Here is a 21,297-nt window from a genome sequence, read left to right on the forward strand (position 1 = left end):
GTACAAGAAAGAAAAAAAATGTGATTATCTCCCCATGTATTTTTAGACTTGACAGTGATGCTCTCATGAAGCCCAATTACTCCACGATGGTTCCTGCTGGGTTATTTTTCAGAGGAAGTTGATATCCACCTTCGGTAACTATACCTGAAATCTGCCGAGAAGAGAGTGCACTAAGCAAGAGAGAACAACTTGGGGTATATATGAGAGTTGGTGCGAAATGCTAGAGTGTTTCAGAGTCTCTGTGGAATTATTCATGGTTGTCAGTCTTGGTTGTAGTTAGCCAGTGCTTTGAAATGACAGTGCATCTTCAAAGGTGACCATCATGACTCTGAAACTGACAAGAAATAAGAATTGGCTAACAGAGAACTGCATAAGTAAAGAGCGAGTGAATGAGGTAGCAAGTAGTATGGGCAGAATTACAGACTTGGGGCTTCGAAAAATAATCATATAATAGTAATACAAACAGTTCTCATTTAGTAAGCATTTATTTCCTATGATAAGGAAAGCTCTGTGTTTGGCATTCTTCATTTAGTACTCTTAAAAATCCTATGAGGTGGCCGGGCACGGTGGCTCATGCCTGTAATCCCAGCACTTTGGGAGGCCGAGGTGGGCGGATCACGAGGTCAGGAGATCGAGATCATCCTGGCCAACACGGTGAAACTCCGTCTCTACTAAAACTACAAAAACAAAAACTTAGGAGGCTGAGGTGGGAGAATGGCCTGAAACCAGGAGGCGGAGCTTGCAGTGAGCTGAGATCGCGCCACTGCACTCCAGCCTGGGCGACAGAGCGAGACTCCTCAAAAAAAAAAAAAAAAAAAAAAAAAAAAAAATCCCGTGAGGCAAGGTCTACTATGATCTCCACTTTACAGAAGAAGATATCAATGTTCGGTGAGGACAGGGCGCCACAGGAAGTAAAAGTCAGCACCGGAAATGAGGTTGCCTGGCTTTGGCTCCTGTGTTTCATTAGCACATGCACTGATTCTGCGAACTTAATCTTTTAAATAGCCCATTTCTCTAGTCTACTAAAGCACCCAGGTAATATACATAGCAATGCTATTATGCAATGATGGTGAATCAGGGCTCAGAGCATATCTAATTCAATATATTCTTCAAAGCTAAACTGCTATTTGAAAGTTTTACTTTCCAAATAGCCTCTATTGTACCTCGGCTGAAGTTAAACCTCATTTCTGCCCTTGAGCTATGTTCCACTTTTATTACAAACCGTGGGGAGGAATGCGAAAATGAAGAGCTTAAATAGAGAGAGGCAGACAGAGGGTCAAACCTCATCCCTGATCACCCACCCCTTCCTGATTACTGCGATCGGGTTCCGAGGCTCCAAAAGGCCTCAAGAGAACGTAAGATTTAAGTGTCCCTGTGGCTTCGCTGTACAAGGAGGGGGAAAGTGACACGCTATTAAAGCCGAGGCAGGGTGCAACGTGGTCCAAGGTGAATGAAGCAGAGAGGAGCTTCAAAGCAGCCCCTGAGCACAGTTCCCAAAGAGTGACACGCTTTTGCCAGAATATTCGCCAGTCAATGATAAAGCCAGTCACGGATCTCTCAGCAATTGGGCCAAGTGTGCACTTCAGTCACAAAGATTACGTGAGCATGGAGAGAGAAAGTGAAAGAACAAACAAGGAAAAAATAAATCACAAACTACCCATGAAACCAAATTCTTAGGAGAAAGCCAGGCAGGTGGGCCTGGGCTGAAATCTACTGAAATCTCCAGATGGGCTGACTTAAAAGCAAAACCAGGAAAATAACGTAGAACAAGGATACAGACAACCCTTAGAAGGAGCCTTCACTCACTCTTTAATTCCAGAATCTCCTGCCATCCTTTCTTCTTCTCCTCTTTTTGTCCTTTCTTCTTTCTGTCCCCCTCCTCCTTTCTTCCCCTCTTCCTCCCTCCCATCCATCCATCTTTCATCATCTCCCTTATACATTCTAGGAAGTTCCAGACCAGTGTCTTCCAGTCAAACTTCCTAACACAAATCCTGGACCTACCACAAACTAACTGTGTGACCTTGTCTCACAAAGTCTATGTGTCAGTATCTTATCTATATGGGGATTATAATGGTTGCTACCTCACAGGGTTGTTAAGAGGATTAAGTCTGCTAACCATGTGCTGAGCATTCAGCTTTGCATGTAGTTAGTACTCATTACCTAGAACTGTACAAGAATTAGTTTTATTATTTAAAAAAACAAATTTAAACCTGAAGATCAAGTAGACATCACATTCAGGGATTGATTTCTGCACCAGCAAAAAAATAAAATAAAGATATTAAGAAGCTCCTTGAATGAGGGCATTGTTCAAGCATCTCTTTTGTGAAAGCTGATTTCTGTTGCTTTGACTAGCCATTCTCAATCTTCCACCTGTACTTGGGGCTTATTAAAATGCAGACTGCAGGGCCCTAAAAGTCTGCATTTCTAACAAGCTCCCAGCTGATGCTGGTCTAATGCCACACTTTGAGAACCACTGGCTTACAATATCCACCTGGTTTCTTACCTTGCTTCTGCCAGTGTGGGCACGGAGGTCACTTGCTGTTTTGCCTGCCCTACTGCATTATGTGTAGACTCTTTGTCTCTTTTCTTGTTTTTTCCTCTTTTTTTTCCTTCTTTCCTTCTATCTTTTCTCTTTTTTCTTTTCCTTCTTCTTTCCCTCCTTCCTATTTTTTTCCCTTCCTTTCCTTCTTTTCTCTCTCCCCACAGAATCTCACTCTGTCACCCAGGTTGGAGTACAGTGATACAATCATAGCTCACTGCAGCCTTCAACTCCCAGGCTCAAGAGATCCTCCTGCCTCAGCCTCCCAAATGGCTGGGACTACAGGTGCATGCTACCACATCAAGCTAACTTTTTTTCATATTTTTAGCAATGGAGTTCTCACTATGTTGCCCAGTCTGGTCTCAAACTCCTGGCCTCAAGCAATCCCCTCTCCTCAGCCTCCCAAGTAGCTGAGATTATAGGTGTGAGCTACTATGTCCAGTATGTGGAGACATCTTTCTGAATGCTTCTCTGGCTTTCTGCACTCTGACCACTCTCCTTGCGTGGTCCTCAGGAATATGCCTGTTAGTATCCACTACTAACATATGGGGGGTTGCGAACCTGCACTTGGGAACCTCCAGGGTCCAGGTCTATCCCCTGCCTACTATTCTTTACCCTCGTCTTCTCGATTTAGTTCAGGGCTATCTCTATAGGCTGTGTTACCACTAAGTTCTAGAAAAGCCACTCTTGATCACTGGTAACCACTTGAAATTCGCCGTGACACACTGAAACCGTAAATAGCTCACTGTACAGGTGGTTTTTTCCCGAGGGCATAGATCTCAACCCACCCTGATATCGTGACATAAATTCTTAAGTGACAGGCTGATCACACGATGCTGACAACCCACTCAGCTTCTCAGAACAGGGAAATCACGATAGAGCCAGCTCAAAGCCTCATTGCTGTGAAAAAATACCATCACTATGGACTTCTAATAGAATGACATTCTGATAAAAACGCTATGAATAGCAGAGATGAGGATAATTTGATATAATCTGTTCTTACTGCTTTCATATTAAGCTGTGGTGATCACAACTTACTTTTCTAAGTGCCAACAAAACATCTATTTAATAAAAGCCTTCCACAAATTTGCTAGGGGTTGCAGTTGAGCTGCTTGAGCTAGAAGAGTATCTTTTTAAAGTCCCATGACACATTCCACACCAAAAATGTTTTCATGGTCAAATAACATTTCACAATGCTCATTAGCACATTAAAGTATGAGAATTTCCACACAAAAGATGCTTGTTTAACTTCATCTAATCCAGCATTCCAGAAACTTATTTGATTGTGGAGTCCTGATTTTCCTGTTTCATTCATGTAACACTTCTGTACACTTTTCTAAAGTATACATTGATTCACTCAAAAATATCTATTTCTAGGTGCTATTCTAGGAGCCAGGGATACGGTAATGGACAAGACAAAGCCTCTGTCCCCATAGAGCTTATATTCCAATGGGTGATGCAGAAGATAAGTAAGGAAATGACTATACATTCTAATTTTGGATAGAAATAAGTGTCCTGAAGAAAAACATAACGGTATAAGGTAAATACTGAGCACTGGGCCACTCTAACGTTTGAAGTTTGGGAAGAGAAGCAGGACTCAATTTAAGGCTGTAGTAAGGAAAGGGGCAAAATCAAGAGAGGGTAAGTTCCAACAGCCCAGAGAACAAATTTCAAAGAGTGTATCACTAACGGTGTGAAATGTTTTTGAAAGCTTGAATTGTTTCAGTAAGGCTAGGAGAACAAAATTTAAAACCCCATGAAAAGATGCTCCACATTATTAGTCATTAGGGAAATGCAAATCAAAACCACACTGAGCTACTACTTCATACCCACTAGAAAGGCAATAATCAAAAGACACACAATAACAAGCGTTGGCCAGAGTGTGGAGAGCTGGAACCCTCCTACACTACTGGGGATGTAAAATCACACAGTTACTTTGGAAAACAGTTTGGCAGTTCCTCAAAAAGTTGAACATGGAGTTACCTTGTGACTCAGAATTCTGATCCTAATACATACCCAAGACAACTGAAGACATATGTCCACACAAAAACTTGTACGCAAATGTTTACAGCAACATTATTCACAATCACCAAAAAGTATAAAAAACTCAAATGACTATCAACTGATCAATGGTAAACAAAGTGCAGTATATGAAGACAATAGGATATGATTTGGCCATAAAAAGGAGTGATGTGCGCTGAGTGAAAGCATCATGCTCAGGGAAATAAGCCAGACAAAAACGGCCACATATTGTACCATGCCATTTACATGAAAAAGCCAAATGAGGCTGATTCATAGAGAAAGAAAGATTTGCGGTTGTGAAGAGGGATGCAGGGTAACTGCTAATGGGCACAGGGTTTCTTTTGGGTTAATGGATATGTTCTGGAATTATATAGCAGTGATGGTTGCACAACTTTGTGACAATACTAAAAGAATGAACTGTATATTTTAATAGGGTTTCTTTTATATTATGTGAATTATATCTCAATAAAGCTATTACTTAAAAAAAAAAAAAAAAACTGAAGGCCGGGTGCTGTGGTTCACGCCTGTAATCCCAGCACTTTGGGAGGCCGAGGCGGGCGGATCACGAGGTCAGGAGTTCGAGACCAGTCTGACCAACATTGTGAAACCCCGTCTCTACTAAAAATACACAAAAAGTTAGCCAGGCGTGGTGGCACATGCCTGTAATCCCAGGTACTCGGGAGGCTGATGTAGGAGAATCGCTTGAACCCGGGAGGCGGAGGTTGCCGTGAGCCGAGATCGTGCCACTGCACTCCAGCCTGGGTGACAGAGCAAGACTCTGTCTCAAAACAACAACAACAACAACAAAAACCCAAAACTTAACTGCAGTGGGTTTCAGAGCAAGCAGGAGGTGAAATAGAGACAGCATGCAATGCCATCATTTTTAGAGGCTCTGCCTCTTCTGCGCTGTCTCTGCTCCTTCCACCATCTCTTTGAACACATCTCTTCTGCCCATACTCACCTGAGGATTGCCAGTGTGGTTGTATCGATATCCTTTTTCCTTGTCAGAATATATTGTAATTCAATTCTAAGGGATAGAAACATGGCTCATGGCGGGGGAAAGAGCAAGGAAGGCTGAAGAGCTACCCTGCTCCACAGCTGGTGTCCTGCAACCTCCACCAGTTGGCCCTGTGTGAATCCTTCTCCCTCACATGTGCCAATGAGCAACTGCAGAAGGCAGGTCTGATTCTAAAGAACAACAGACGATACTGTGGTAAAACGATAATGGCCACCTTCAAAGTTATCCATGACCTAATCCCTGACCTGTGATTATGTTAAGTTACAAAAGATAAATTATGGCTGCAAATGAATTAAGGTTATTAAGCAGCTGACCTTAAGATTGGCAGAGGTATCATAGATTTTCCAGGTTGCCCCAATGTCATCAGGAGTCCTTAAAACTGGAAGAGGGTGAACATCATCAAAATTGTAAACTTTCTACTTCAAAGGCCACAAGCAAGAATGTGAAAAGCCAAGCCAGAGACTGGCAGAAAGGATTTGCAAATCACCTATCTGATAAGGGAAGTATATCTAAAATACATAAAGAACTACTTACAACTAAGTAATAAAAAGACAAAAATCCTAAGTAAAATGGGCAAAGGATATGAATAGACATTTCTCCAAAGAGGATGGATAAATGAATACATGAAAAGATGCTCAACATCCTTAGCCCAAAACCACAAAGACAATACCACTTAACACATACTAGGGCAACTGTAATAAAAAGGACAGATAGGCCGGGTGCGGCGGCTCACGCCTGTAATCCCAGCACTTTGGGAGGCCAAGGCGGGTGGATCACAAGGTCAGGAGTTCGAGACCAGCCTGGCCAATATAGTGAAACCCCGTCTCTACTAAAAATACAAAAATTAGCCAGGCATGGTGGCACACACCTGTAATCCCAGCTACTCAGGAGGCTGAGGTAGGAGAATCTCTTAAACCTGGGAGGTGGAAGTTGCAGTGAGCCGAGATTGCACCACTGCACTCCAGCCTGGGCGACAGAGTGAGACTTCATCTCAAAAAAAAAAAAAAAAAAAAAAAAAAGGACAGATAATAACAAATGCTGGCAAGGAAGTGGAGAAATTGGAACCCTTGTACAAGCTGGTGCAGATGTAAAATGGTACGGCTGCTTTAGAAAAGTTTCTGCAGTTCCCCAAAAGGTTAACAATAATGTTACCATATGACCCATGCACTGTTTCCAGCAATTTGTTATAGCAACAAGTAGAGAATGAATACAGATGCCTTGATATTTTTAATGCATAGTTTACACATTTTTCTTATCTCTACAACACCTGTATGAAGTATTATTCTACCAATTTTATAGGTAAGGAAGAGACAAAATTTTCCCTCAGCAAGACTCAGAAATCTTCACGTATTGTTTTTTTGGTTTTTTTTTTTTTTTTTTTTTTTTTGAGACAGGGTCTCACTCTGTCACCCAGGCTGGAGTGCAGTGGCACGATCTCGGCTCACTGCAACCTCTGCCTCCCAAGTTCAAGCGATTCTCCTGACTCAGCCTCCTGAGTAGCTGGGACTACAGGAGCACGCCACTATGCCCGGCTAATTTTTTTTTGCATTTTTAGTACAGACGGGGTTCCACCATGTTGGCCAGGCTGGTCTCAAACTCCCAACCTCAGGTGATCATGCCCAGCATCTATTGTTCTATGTTTGTATAATCACCAACAGCTCTCAACTTGGAATAACCAAATGTAATGTAACAATAAGATTGTTTCCATTTGCTGAATATCAACATCAAAAACTTACAGCATAGAAAATCTGGAAGAGACAGAAAAACACATAGGAGAAAATTTAGATCACCAGTTAATCTCACTACCAAGCAATAACAATCCTTTTCTTCATGTAGAGTGATACAAATATGATACACGCTTTTTTTTTTTTTTTAGTCTCAATTGCCCCAGACAAAAACCCTGAAGCAAGGATGAGAGTGCAAGTAGTTTATTTGGTGGATGATCCCTGGAAACACGAGTAAGGGAAGGAAACAAGAAAGGAAAGGAGGCCAATATAGGATGTGTGATCAAGTGAGTTATTATTTCATGTGACTGGAGCTTATAAAACCTGCTAGAGAACTCTGAGAACCAGTGAAGAATATGCATCCCAGAGTTATCCCAGCCAAGGTGTGAGGGAACTAGCGTATTCATACACCAACTTTTGTCCTCACTGGTTGAGAACTGCTCCTGGGGAGACATCAATACTCCAGCACTTCTGCCTTCTCCCACCTGGAGAGTGAGAAAAGCCAGGTTTCCAGGGCCAGTCAGATGCAAGTCAGGCTAGGTAGGATGCATTGCAGCCATGGTGGGTGGGGGTAACACAATGTGGGCAGAGCACAGACCCCACTTGTAGCAATGCTTTGCACAGTGCTGTCTCATTTCTGACACCTGGAGTCTCATAATTTGCTGCTGAACCGAAAGTTCAAGTATTTAGTCTCCTTTTCATGGGTGAGATACCAGACAGATAAAGATCTGGTTAGAGGTTCTTAAACTGCAAATCCCAAAGCCCTAGAGCTTCCAGAACAAGCCTGGTATGGCCAAGGAGCAGCTCATGATGGAAGTAAGAATGGGGCACCAGAAAGGGCGGCAGGCTTCAGTTCCCCCTCCGTGATTCAAACAGAGCAGCTCTGTTTTATCTGTTTCTATGTTGGGATCCCATGCACGATTTCATTTGCAAAAAGAATTTATTACTAAAACAAACAAACAGAAAATCTTTGAAAACTACTAGGATTAGAATTAGGAAACGTTGGGGGGTGGTAAGAGTGATTAATTTCTTCATTTCACAGAAGAGGAGAGTGGCTTTTAGAAGACCAATAACAAAGCAATGGCAGGGCTGGGACTGGAACCTTGAGAACCCCGAAACCCTGACTTGTGTTCCAGTGCTTTCTACCTCATCTTGCCCAACCTACCTTTCCCAGATCTCAGAAAGGTAGAAGCCCCTACAATTAAGCAGTTTGGTGTTCAGTCACTGGAGATGGGTGGCCAAGGTTCAGATCCTACCTATTCTTTTGACTGAGTCAATTCCTTAACTTCTTTCATATTCCCTCATTTATCAAGTGGGCATAAAACCAGTATCCCAACGCATAAGACTTTTATACCGATTATGTGAAATACATAGGTAAAGTGCTTAAGCTAATGCTGCACATTCTGAATATTCAGTCAATTCCAGCAGTGACTATATTACAGGACATTAGTTTTAAAAATAATTTTGACAACCTGCTTCTGTTCTAAACCAGAAGGCTTAATTCTACGGTGAGCCTTGCTGAATGTATTCTACTTCATCCAGACCATCACCAACCCCAAAGCTGTGTGTTCTACATGGCTGGATTTCGCCTTTCTTGATTTGGGGAGGCCTCATCTTCTGCAACTAAGTCGAGTCAAGGGTCAGCATGAAATTACTGACAGCCACTTAGTTCTAAAATAAATGTCACTGGAAGTAATGCCACTTACAGGACTTTGAGGATACCTCAGCATGATCAACTCAAGAATCAAATTAGTGGCCTGTCAAAATGCACAGGCACACTGATGGTTTCTGATGCTACTGTCAATGAGCTCCTTCACTTAGAATATTAGCAATGCTCAGGCAGTTGGTATGCCTTTCAGGAAACAGAGGAAACATAGTGCTTTTCATGTGTTCAAAGTGTCCCAATCAAGTTGGGAAACTTCGAGGAAAAAAATAAAATAAAAAAAAATTCAGTTTAAACAAAAAAAATAAACAGAAAACACCTCCTAGAATTTGTGGAGACTCTGTTGAGTTTCGTGGCTTAACAATTGTGTTTTTAAGCCATACATCACTGGTGGTGCTCCAATTGTGAGTTATAATAATATATCATAAGAGGGATGGTGATCTCCTGATATATGGGTGCCATACATCATCTAAGCACCATGGCTTTGATGATGTATTGCTCCAAGCCACAATGAGAGTTTAAAGGAGCTTTTAGCAGCCAGACAGCTTTAAATTTCAAATTTTCAAAAATTAAGATCTTTTCAAGTAAAAAAAAAGCAAGATAATGGAATGTGATGCTATATAAAGTGTCACTGAACTCTGAGAGCCTGGGTATATGCCTTTTCCTTTTGGCTTTGAGCTCACAAGGTGGAAATCATTGGCAAGTTCTTCTTCAATTCCTCCTCCATGAGCACAGAGGTGAGCAAGTGTCAATGCATCCATTTTGCCAATCAATTTCCCCCATCTTCCACACTGCAAGCCTGAGTAGCTCATCATCATCCCAAAGACTGGATCACATAAAATGCTGTGATAGGCACTGGATAAACCCAGGAGAAGTTATTTTTTATTTTTTATTTTTTGGTTTGTTTTAAAGAGCTCTTCCACTGAGATTCAGAACAAAAAGAACAGATAAAAAGTAGATAGACTTCCTTCCTCATTGCTCTCAAACTCAAAACAGGGCATGTAGGAAGAAAACATGCCTTGTCTAGCATTTGTCTTTGTAAAGCAAAGGAAGCATTGATTGCAGATGAGGAGAAAGAGGGGAATGGCATATGGGCTTCTCATCCAGACTAGGAAAGGGAGCTGTTGTCATAGTTCTGTCACCTTTCCTATTTTAACGATGGGTTTATAAGACGGTAATGTGGCTTAAGAGAATGTACCCACTTCGTTTAAAAGCCACTCACTTTTGGGGGCAAAGTAATCACAATCAATTAAGAAAACAGGTGTTGAGAGAACTCCTCCCTTTTTTTTTAAATCCTACTGCAATAAACAGAACAAAATGAGAAATCTTCCTACTGTTTCTGTAATAGACCTAAACAGGAACAGTGAGAGACGATTACACTTCAAGTGGCTTCTTCCATTTTCCTTTACTAAGTGAATTAAAGGAAAGAATAAGAGTAGTTACTGCCATGTGGAGGGAAACATCTGGGCATAAGGAATTAACAGTCTTCCCTCCCATTCTCCTATCTCTAATTTTTTGCTCCTTGGGCTTCCTCCAGTAGATTCTAAGTCCCAAATTACTGTAGATATTTTGCACCCGGCTCCCTCCTTGACCACTTCCAAAGGGCAAAAACATCTTATTTCCACCAAAGAAAACCAATGGCTGTCTCAAAAAGAAGTCCCAGGCTTCTTTTCTCCTGTAGTAGTAAGTTAACTATATAATCTGGGTAACAAAGACATGGAAATAAATGCATCACCCACTATTCTGAGGCTGTCAGTTGAAAGATGTGAATGAGGCAGGCTTTGCATCTAGAGAAATGTGGGTTCTTTCACGGGCTGGTAAATAAATCCCCCAAATTCAGTCCTCTTCTTCTCTATAAAGAGAATACTGACACAACACTTAATTATTTCTTTCACATAAGCCAAAAAGCTTTACTTACGTATTTATAGTAATAGCACACCATTCATCCACCCACCATTTTTAAGTCATTATCAGTTATAAAACTTGCTGCCATTTACATAAGAATATTATATGTTGGAATGGTACTTAGTACTGTATATTATCACATCCTCACCAAAACACTAAAAAATAGAAACTGTTGTCTCCTTTTTTTTCAGTAAGCACACTGATGCTTACTGGAATTAAATAAATTGTGCAAGCTCACCAAGCTGGCAAAAGTGGCCGAGTTAAGATTCTAAGTCAGGTTGATAGGATGTCAAGCGTAATCTGTATTTTGCTATGCTCCTTCCTGAGTAAATAACTAATGTCTGGGTGACCATATGCCCCAGTCTGTTTGGAACCATCCAGCTTTAGGCCTGCAGGTATGAACAGGCCAGTGTAATAACAAACAGCATCTTCTTTCACTCTCCTAAGTTCTGCTGTGGACAATAAATTATATGGTCTCCCTAACTAGTAGTATAGTTCATGCCAGGAAATTTTATTTCTGCTCATTCTAACTATTCTCATCTGCAGATAGCAGGGGAAAAACAAAGAAGAAAGGAAAGAAAGAAGGCTCTGTGAAAGTTTTTAAAGAATGGGCTACTAACTCTTATCTATCAATACCTTTCATGAAACCTCCAACATGTTCAGAGTAGAGCTCTGGGAGGGAAAAGAAATACTTTAGACTAAAACAGGGCCCCTCAAGCTCTAAAGAAAAAACCTCAAGCATGCTAGAAACCTCTCCAGTTGAGCATTCTTTACTTATTATCATCACAAGAGGCAACGGTAATAGCTGTTGCTATTTATTAAGCTCTTACTATATGCCAGGCACCATATGCCAGGAACTGAGCTAAGCACTTTCTTTGTAAGATCTCAATTATTTATCATAAAACTGCATGATAGATATAATCCAAATTATTATCATCATTAATTTATAGATGAAGAAACTAAGGCCGAGGAACGTGGAATGAGGAGGTCTGCCCGATTCCAACATCCAAGTGTGATACTACTATCAACACTCTGGTACAGTTGAACACAGCCTAGTAAAAGTTCTAAGCCCACTGCCCCTGCACCCCCTGCTATTCAACCTTATGACAGTAAGCTCTTCTGCAAGAGGGGCCCATTAGAGAGAATGGACTTCTAACAAATTGAGATCAATCTTGTACAAATATTCTGTATTATCTTTTGGCTTCTGATTGGTTTTCAGTGACATAACAGCTTTAAATTCTTAAAGCTATTTAATGAGAAGAGAGTAGATGTATTAGTCTGTTCTCACACTGCTAATAAAGACATACCTGAGACTGGGTGATTTATAAAGGAAAGAGGTTTAATTGACTCACAGTTCCACCTGGCTAGGGAGGCCTCAGGAAACTTACAATCATGGCAGAAGGGGAAGCAAACATATCCTTCTTCACATGGGGGCAGCAAGGAGAAGAATGAGTGCCCAGTGAAGGGGAATCCCCTTATAAAACTATCAGATCTCATGAGAACTAACTCAGTATCATGAGAACACGATGGGGGAAACTGCCCCCATGATTCAATTTTCTCCACCTGGTCCCACCCATGACACATGGGGATTATGGGAACTACAATTCAAGATGAGATTTGGGTGCGGATGCAGCCAAACCATGTCAGTAGAATTTATAATCACTGCCTCTAGAGAAGTTGACAAACCTAACCAACAGCTATAAAACCAGGATAACTCCAGATGTAGGGCTCTCAGATGAGGTCATCTCTACTGCCTTGGGTTATGGACAGGTAGAACCCTGGGAAGACCATTCCAAGATAGAGTCTTCCTGTTCAGTTAGACATGCAGGAGCTCAGAGGTTCTTGTAAAATTGGTTCTGCTTGCTGCTGGGTGGGAAGGGACAGTGCCTTAGTAATGTCTCCATCTGAAAACGTATGAAAGTTTCAAAATGACTTTTAGGAGATACAGAGGATGTTTCAAGATTTGTCACCCTTGTGCTTCTCAGCTGTTGTTGTAGTCATGGAGTTTATAGTACATGTGCTTGGTAGAAAAAATTATAAGTGTTCTTCCTTCCATGTGGAGTTCCTTTCTCTTTCCTTTTCTTCCTCTGAGTTTTAAAGAGCATGCTCAAATGCCACCTCCTTTGTGTACTCTTCAGACTCTTTCAGGCTTTTCTGATTCATTATACATATGTCCATGACAGCTTTTTACCACAAAGTATAAGTAATTACAGGTTTTCTCTTCCACTAGTCTGGAACTCTGGGCTATTTATTACTTATTTTTCCCCTGATTATTTCTTTTCCCTAACCCTAGGTTCCTAGGTTAGAAGACATATTTTCTAAATGTTGAATGGATGGATGAATGGATGGATGGGTGGGGTGGATGGGTGATGGATGGGTGAATGGATGGGTGGATGGATGAATAGATGGATGAGTGGGTGGGTGGATGGGTGGGTAGCTAGGTACATGAGTGGGAATGTGGACAGATAGGTGCATGGATGGATGAATGGATGGTTAAAAAATAGACAACTACACTGCTCTTAATTTCTTAGCTTGCTTAAAAGAAGAAATATATGCACTGATTTTCTTCGCCATTCTTGTCATTTTCTTTTGCTTGAAAGTTCTTGTGCATACAAAGATATGGTCTATGAAGAGCCATTATGATCACATTGTACACACCTTTCTTCCCCACTGAAAAGTATCTTTTTACCAAAATGTAAGTTTGAAGTTCTTGTGTTTCTAGCCTCACATAAATCCCTTTTAAAAAACTCCTCAGATATGCTCAAGTGTCTGGAGAAATAGCTTATCCTAAAAACAGTCAGCATTGCAAGGGTTGCCAAGGGGATATATTTGTTCTTCAGTATTAACTTCATTAAGAGCTACTGTGGTTCTCTCTCAGGAGAGAAGAAGAAACCTAACCTTTCTTTGGATATCTTCTGATCTTTACAAATTATTTCCAGGGTGCTGTCTTTGTTAGACAAAATATGAAGAATATCTATTTTTTTATTTATACATCATATCAGAACATTAATTTGTAGAGTGATTCCCTCTGGGTGCCTTTCTGTTGGGTACACAAAAAAGGATTTGGATGCAAATGAAACAATGATAGCATTTTTCCTTGTCTTACTCATTTTGTGACAAATGCACATTGCTTTACTGTTTGCTATACACATAATTACAGTTCTTTAATTTATGTTTCAATAAAATGTATAATAATAAACATTTACTGCTCCATGAATAAACATTCGAGTGAAGCCTCTAATGGAGGTTACATGTTTCGAGGCAGCTCTGTGGCTTTTTCAGAAATCTGCCTTCTACTTAATGAGCATCATTTCCATAATCTGTGCATTATTGCTTAAGCCTCCCTTTAAAACATTTCAAAATGCAAAAATTTGTGAAATATGATCAGTCCAAAGGGGAAAAAATGTTAAGGGAATTAGCAACTTGTCCTGTTAAAGGGACAGGACAAGCTTTCATGTCCCTCCAGAGACAGTAACATAGTAATTATGGAGACAGCACTTCCTAATTATCTCACTAGCTGAGCGCAATACTACTGTGGTTTTTGCCTCTAAGATCTGGTTTAAATAAAAGTGATAAGAAACCTGGAGAGGTCAGCCATGAAGGACAAGCTTGTGCTAATTCTCTTTCCAGTGCTAACAAAGAAACCAGAAAGTAGAACCAGAAATTTGGGGAAGGTCAAGATACCTGTGGTATGGACATTCCTGGATGTAGAGACAGACAAATGGTTTGATTAAAACGGTCACCCCAAAGTAACTGAATTCAGACAAAAGCCTATGCTGAGCTTTATGTCGATGGTGTCACACATTATTTTCAGTGTGTTATTTCTTAGGAAAATTACTTACATAATTTTATGTCATTATCACTTTAAAAGGTTAATCTATTTCAGATAATCTTTGCAAATTGTGTTCTAAAAAGCAGGTGCTTTTAAAAATAACTAAAACATGATGACATATTTCTTTTTTCTTTGTCCAACAGCCATGGCTGGGTTGTTTAACTAGAGAGAAAAAAAGATGCCAGGAGAAATGAAGGAACAAAGGACCCTTCACAGTGTGATAAGATACAGATAGTCAGCCTCTGCAGAGCGGTGATGAAATGTGTTAAAAGTGATGGCTGTCACTTCATGACATGTCAGCGTGCTTTATTGGTGGGTTGGCACAATTTATTTAAACATCGTCAGGAGGGACTCATTTTGGTGTAGTTAGAAGTTGTGTTTCTTTAGTGTGAATAAATATCTCTGGGCCCACGTGCAACATTTTAAAACTGTGCTGTTGTTTACTGTGGGAATTGGAGCAAGGAGCTAAGAGTTCCAAAGTGAAGCTCTCCTTCTCCCACCATTTTATGATTTGCTATAAGTAATTTGCTCCTTGCTTTGACCGTTACTACAAAATCTTTCAAAGGAACATTATTCTCCTTAACAGGGGCTAAATTTAAGATTTTTCATCATTCAATATTGCTATTTTCACATGTGACTTCAACAAAATAAAACATTCGGCATAAATAGAATTTAGTGTAATCCAAATCCTGCTTTTCTCTTGGTACATATGCTTTGTTGCTTCTTGACATTCCTGAATTACAAAGTATTAAGCAGAATCATCTTTTTAAGGGTTACATTTTCCTTCTAACTCAAGTGAGCAGGTATTTACGTCAAAGTCACACATTTAAAAATGACATCCTCTTCCAGCATGGGGCAAATCTCAACCTACAGGGCTGCCAAGTGGAGCTGCAACTTTTTGCAAGGGTTCTACCCAGATGTGCTACAAGTCCATATTACCTTTGAAATCACCATCTTGTAAAGATATCTGCACCCTCATGTCCACTGCAGCATTATCTATAGTAGTGAAGATATACAAACAATGTAAATGTCCATCAAAGGACAAACAGATTAAAAAATGGTATATAATAAATACAATGAATATTATTCGGCCTTAAAAATTAAGAGATTCTGTCATTTGCACCAACAAGGATGAACCTGGAAGACATACACTAAGTGAAATAAACCAGACACAGAAAGAAAAATATCACATGATCTTACTTAAATGTGGAATCTTAAAGTAAAATATATAGAGATAGAGAATAAAACAGTGGTTATCAGACTGCGGTGGAGGTTGGGAGGGCAGAATGGGGAGATACAGGTCAGAGAATAGTAAGCAGCAGATTTGTAGGAAGAACCAGTCTAGAGATCTAACATACAACATGAAGACTGCAGGTAAAACTGTACTGTATTTGGGATTCCTGCCAAATGAGTATACTTTAGTTGCCCTTGTCACAAAAACAAACACCCAAAAAAGTGAGTAACTATGTGAGATGATGAATATGTGAATTTGCTTCATTATAGTAACTATTTTACTATTTTGTATATATGTCTTAACACCATGTTGTATACCTCAAATACACACAATAAAATTTATTTAAAAACCAACGAAAAAGCACATTCCCTTCATAAATGAGATTCTTTTCAAAATAAGTTTGAAAATATACATTGTAAAATATACTAGAAAAACCACCCCCTAACTAACTCCCCACAACCCAGGAGCTCTGATTTGATAGCTTAAGACAGGATAAATGACTCCGATTAGGACAATGAGCCCCAGTTTTATGGGGACCTCCTAAATCATATCTCGGTTTGGGTCTAGAATGATGGTGCTGGGAGCACCCAGAGAGCTGCATATCATCTCAGCCTGGCTTCCACACAGGGAGCCAGAGAGATTTATGGGGCCCTGTCTGGTGGCTTTGAGGCACAAACGATGAATACTGCTAAAGCAATAACAATAAAAGAGGCAACAGACAGTGGGGGAAGCCCCAGCACCAACCCTCATTTTTCTCATAATATACTCTGTTGTACAATGAGACAGAGTGATTCCATAGGTACCAGCCAGAAATTACATGAAAAATTGATCATGTTTCTTTTTCTGGGTGATATCAGTGATTGAGGCCCTTGATTTATGCTGGCCAAACTTTTTCAGTGCAGAATGGAACCCTTCCTAACTTCAGTCTCCGTGGCTCACACAGACTGGCCATTAACAGAAGACACACTGCATCATACCATTTAGTCAGGACCCTACACTAACAGAGGGAACTGCAGCAGAGTCTTAATAGCAACTCCAATTTGCCAGGAATCTCACCACAGATCAGAAATTTACAGTGGCGGAGACCTTTTAGGAACTTTCAGCATGGATGCTCCCTCAAGGTGTGGGTCAGAATTTGCGGCGCAGGAGGTGAGGTGAGGTGAATAGTTTATAATGATTTTTCTATGCCTTTTAACCTTTGGAATTAACATTTGGTCAAGAAAGCCAATTGAAGGCTAAGTGTGTACTTGACATGTGAAAAAATGAATGTGTCTTCTAGGCGTTGGCTTAGGACACTGCTGAGCCCTGGCTACAGCCAACTCAGGCTTAACTCATTAAGGTGATTAGCCAACAATCAATTCTTTAAAATTAGTAACATAAAACAGGCCATACCAGGCTCATGGATATAAAATTTGGGTATCAAGTTTTGCTCCAGAGAAATGTCACACCCTCACCGGCAAAAAGTCTATAGAGGTAGGGAGTGTCACAGGTAAGGTTGAGTTAATGAGACATCCTCTAGCTGGCATGAATGTGTAAAGTGCGCTCCATGGTCATACATCCAGCAAGTCAGGATTTCACAGCAAGCATAGCTTTCACTTTAAGCTAAGTGACATGGAAGGTTCAGGTCCTTAACCTTAGGTCACGGGATGACAATATACAGAATCTGCAGCTTGACAGCCTGGGCTTAATTCCTAGTCCTGCCACTTTCCAGCTGTGGGACCTGAGATAGTCAACACCTCAGAGCTTCAGATTTCTTGTTTGTAAAATGAACCCATCTCAGAGGGTTGCTGTGAGGATCAAATTGGTTAGTACTGCAAAATACCCAGACTAGTACTTGGAACTTAGTAAGCATAGATGTAAGGTGTTTGCAGCTATCATTGCTGCTGCCGCTGCCACGATTATTAGTACTACAACTACTTAACCACAAAATCTGTGCTACTTGACCACAACATCTTTCAGTTAAAAAAAATTCACAATTTATTTTTTTAATTTAACTTTCTCTTAAGGACTTTACCATTGTTTTAAAAATTACTCTACTGAAGTCTAATTTACTAAATGGGAACAGGTAGAAGAACCATTCTCCTAAAAACTAATGTGGAGTCAATATACTTATCCTGGGCATGAAGAAACCCTGGAGCTTCCAAAGAACACAGTGTGAAAAACTTTGCTTGGGGAGGGAGATGGAAGGCAGAGAACGAGGGTTTCTCCCACTGGGGTACAAATCCTTAGGAAGTGGAGCTTGGTGATTAAGAGCATCGAGCTCTAAAGTCAGATGAGCTGGGATGAAATCCCCACCCCAACTTTCATTTCCTGTGTGACCTGTGAAGGCAGTCGAATATCTTAATTCTTTGGGTTCTATATTTATAAAATGCAGATAATAAAGTCTATTCTTCAAAGGGCTTCTGAGAGGATTAAATGAAATAATACATGAAAACCTCTTAGCACCGCCCCTGGCACCATTAGAAAATGCCTTATAAATGTAAGCTGCTCTTCTAGTTACTTTTACCCAGATCTCTGCTCAAGTGTTACTTCCATAGAGAGGACTTCCCCAATTTCTATATTACATATAAACAGTTCCGGTCCTATCTCAAATTAAAATCTGCATTTATTCACTTTTTCATTTTTTGTTCCCATACTCACGGCCATGATCCCAGCATCTGTGACTATGACTAGCACTTAGTAGGCACCCAATAGGTATGTGTTAAATGAATGAGTTAAAAAGGAGAGACAGGAAGTATCTCTAACTCAATGTTAAGAGACTGCAAAAACTCTATTAGGCTGAAAACTAGGAAGTATAATTCTTCAAAGTAATAACAGAAATAAAACTTGAAGACATGTTCTTTTGTGTATGCAATAGTGTATGCTGATTGTTCTCAAGCTGCCAACTACCCTTAACAGTGCTCTGCTGTGAAGACACAAAAGGGGCAGGAGGGTGGATCAGACAGACTTCATATGAGCCACAATGCAGGTCCAGCCAAAGTAGCAAGGATACAGTTGGAATATAAATGCCTTTACCCACCTCTCACTGTTTTCTTCTCCTGAAAATTGCTCTACATTATGATCTCTCTCTCTTTCTCTATCTCTTGTCTCATACTTGGCTTTCCTCTGTCCATGCAAAGGGCCTCCTTGTGATATCCCACATTCTCTTTTATCCTGACACATTGCATAGACTCCTGTTGTGGGTACTGTGTAGTTATATAACCAGAGTTGGGATGTTTTACTGCCTTGATGCTTGCGTTGTGGGTCTGTGTAATCTTTGCATTCAAAGTGTGATAACAGACACTGGACATAGCGCATAACACTCAGAGCTGCACTCCAGGTACTAAGATGTCATGAGGCCCACGAGAGAGATGCACATTTCTGCAAGGGCGTCAAGGGACCCAGGAGAGGAAGGTAAAAGCCACTACGAGGTCCTCTGAGGGCAAACGCTCCCTGCTCTCTCCTGACAATGATCCCCAATGCATGAAGTAGGATATAGTGTGTTAAGGTGATAAGGGCTGAGGATGAAGTGGGTTGGCTCAACTGGCAAAGCACTGTGAACTGGAAATGTGTTAGTGTGTGGAAAAGCAATGTTACCTTGGATGAGAGCTCACTCCTCTCGTGAACTAGACTTTTCCCTCAAGTGCCTTCCCCCATAATACAGTCAGTAAAATCTTCTAAAGCCCTGAGAACTGGAATCATCTCACGATCTATAGTAACCCAAAGTGGCCTAGCAACTAGGGGTGGACCCTGTTAACTATTCACATCGCCACCCTGACAAAAGTCTTCCTGCTCCCATTTCAAGGCTCTCTCCACACTTGGTTTCTCTGACCTTTCTGAACCTTTCACCGTATCTTGCTCTCTGGACTGCAGCCCCTGGCTGTGAATACATATTTAGTCTCTCAGCCTGCCCTTCCTATAGACATATTATTTGATGCTTATGCAAAGATCACCCTTAGCCTTCATCTTTCCATGCCTTTGCCATACACTACCTTCCTCCTCCCCACACTCCTGTAGTCAGATGTGATGCTTCAAACTCAGCTTGAGCGCAGGTCTCATTTTCACCCTCCTCATACGCCTGTGGACAAGTTTGTCAGACCATTGGTTAAATATTCGACCAAGAGTGAGGTTGGTAAAAGGAAGGCATATTTACGAGACAGAACAAAGGCTTTGCATTAAACAAAACAAAATGGCAGTTTTCCTTCTTGCTGAAACCCTCACTTGGATATTCCTCCAGAATCAGAGCTTTCCAAGACTCCACATGATTCATCCCCTCTCCCATACTTAGCTGTCTGGATTACAGCCCTTAGTTCTTTTTTTATTTTTTAGAGACACGGTCTTGCTCTGTTGCCCAGGCTGGAGTGCAGTGGTGCAATCATAGCTCTCTGCAGCCTCTACCTCCCAGGCTCAAGTGATCCTCCCACCTCAGGCTCCCAAAAAGCTTGGACTACAGGCATGCACCACATTGGCTAATATTTTTTTAAATTATTTGTACAGACAGAGTCTCACTATGTTGTCCAGGCTGCTCTCAAACTCCTGGGCTCAAGCAATCCTCCCACCTCGGCCTCCCAAAGTGCTGGGATTACAAGCATGACCCACTGTGCCTGGCTTCCTAGTTCTCTATAGGAGTCTCTAGGTTGTTCTGCCTGAGAGATTCTGATAGTTCAGCTAGTTTCAACCAGAATGCTGAACCCATTATTTTGAGCATGAATCTGCTCTCCTGTTATATTACTAAGAAGAAAAACAAGGTATTCCATTAAATCTGTGGGCACATCCTCAAAAGCACATAGTTTTGCCGAGATCTTACACCTGACAATGGAAGTGCTTGCACGATGCAGGTAGTAAAACGGAAAATAGGAATCAGGAAGCTGATCAGGAACCAGCTCAGGGCTTTGAAAAGGAGAAGGCCAGTGAGCGCCCACCATTTGCAGGTTGACAGAGTCAATTTTTTTTTTAAACCTGGGCTCAAAGAGAGATTAGGCAGCTGGATGGGGAGCAGACTAAAAAATATGTTCACCTTTAAATAAATCAGCAACGAAATTGGAGGAGGATTATACCTCAGGGACAAAAGAGGAAGAAGAACATGAATACCTGCTTTACTTGAAATGCCTCCCTTCTCCCAGCCTTTCCTGCATGGAGTATGACAAGAGAGGCCCTTGGTAACCTTCACTTTAATTAGAATCATTAACTGCAAATGGAAGTAAGAACAACTCAACTCTCCTTGTCTAATTACAGGGGCTACCTTACTCCTGTCTGTAAAAGGCACCAATATTGTCCTATGAGGCCCTGGCATGAAGACTTTGCTACTCTCTCAAGTACCAAGAACAGCCTTGGAGTGGAAGAAAGAACATATTTGACTCTACCATGGAAATTCTTCTATA

General features: G+C 40.9%; 1 protein-coding gene across 8 annotated transcripts in view; it reads right to left on the reverse strand.

Moving 5' to 3' along the window:
• The window catches only part of FHIT (fragile histidine triad diadenosine triphosphatase), a 1,504,176-nt gene that overhangs the window by 175,146 nt on the left and 1,307,733 nt on the right, over positions 1 to 21,297 (reverse strand). The window lies entirely within an intron of this gene.

Source organism: Homo sapiens, chromosome 3 (genome assembly GCF_000001405.40).
Source record: "Homo sapiens chromosome 3, GRCh38.p14 Primary Assembly".
Classification (NCBI taxonomy): Eukaryota; Metazoa; Chordata; class Mammalia; order Primates; family Hominidae; genus Homo; species Homo sapiens.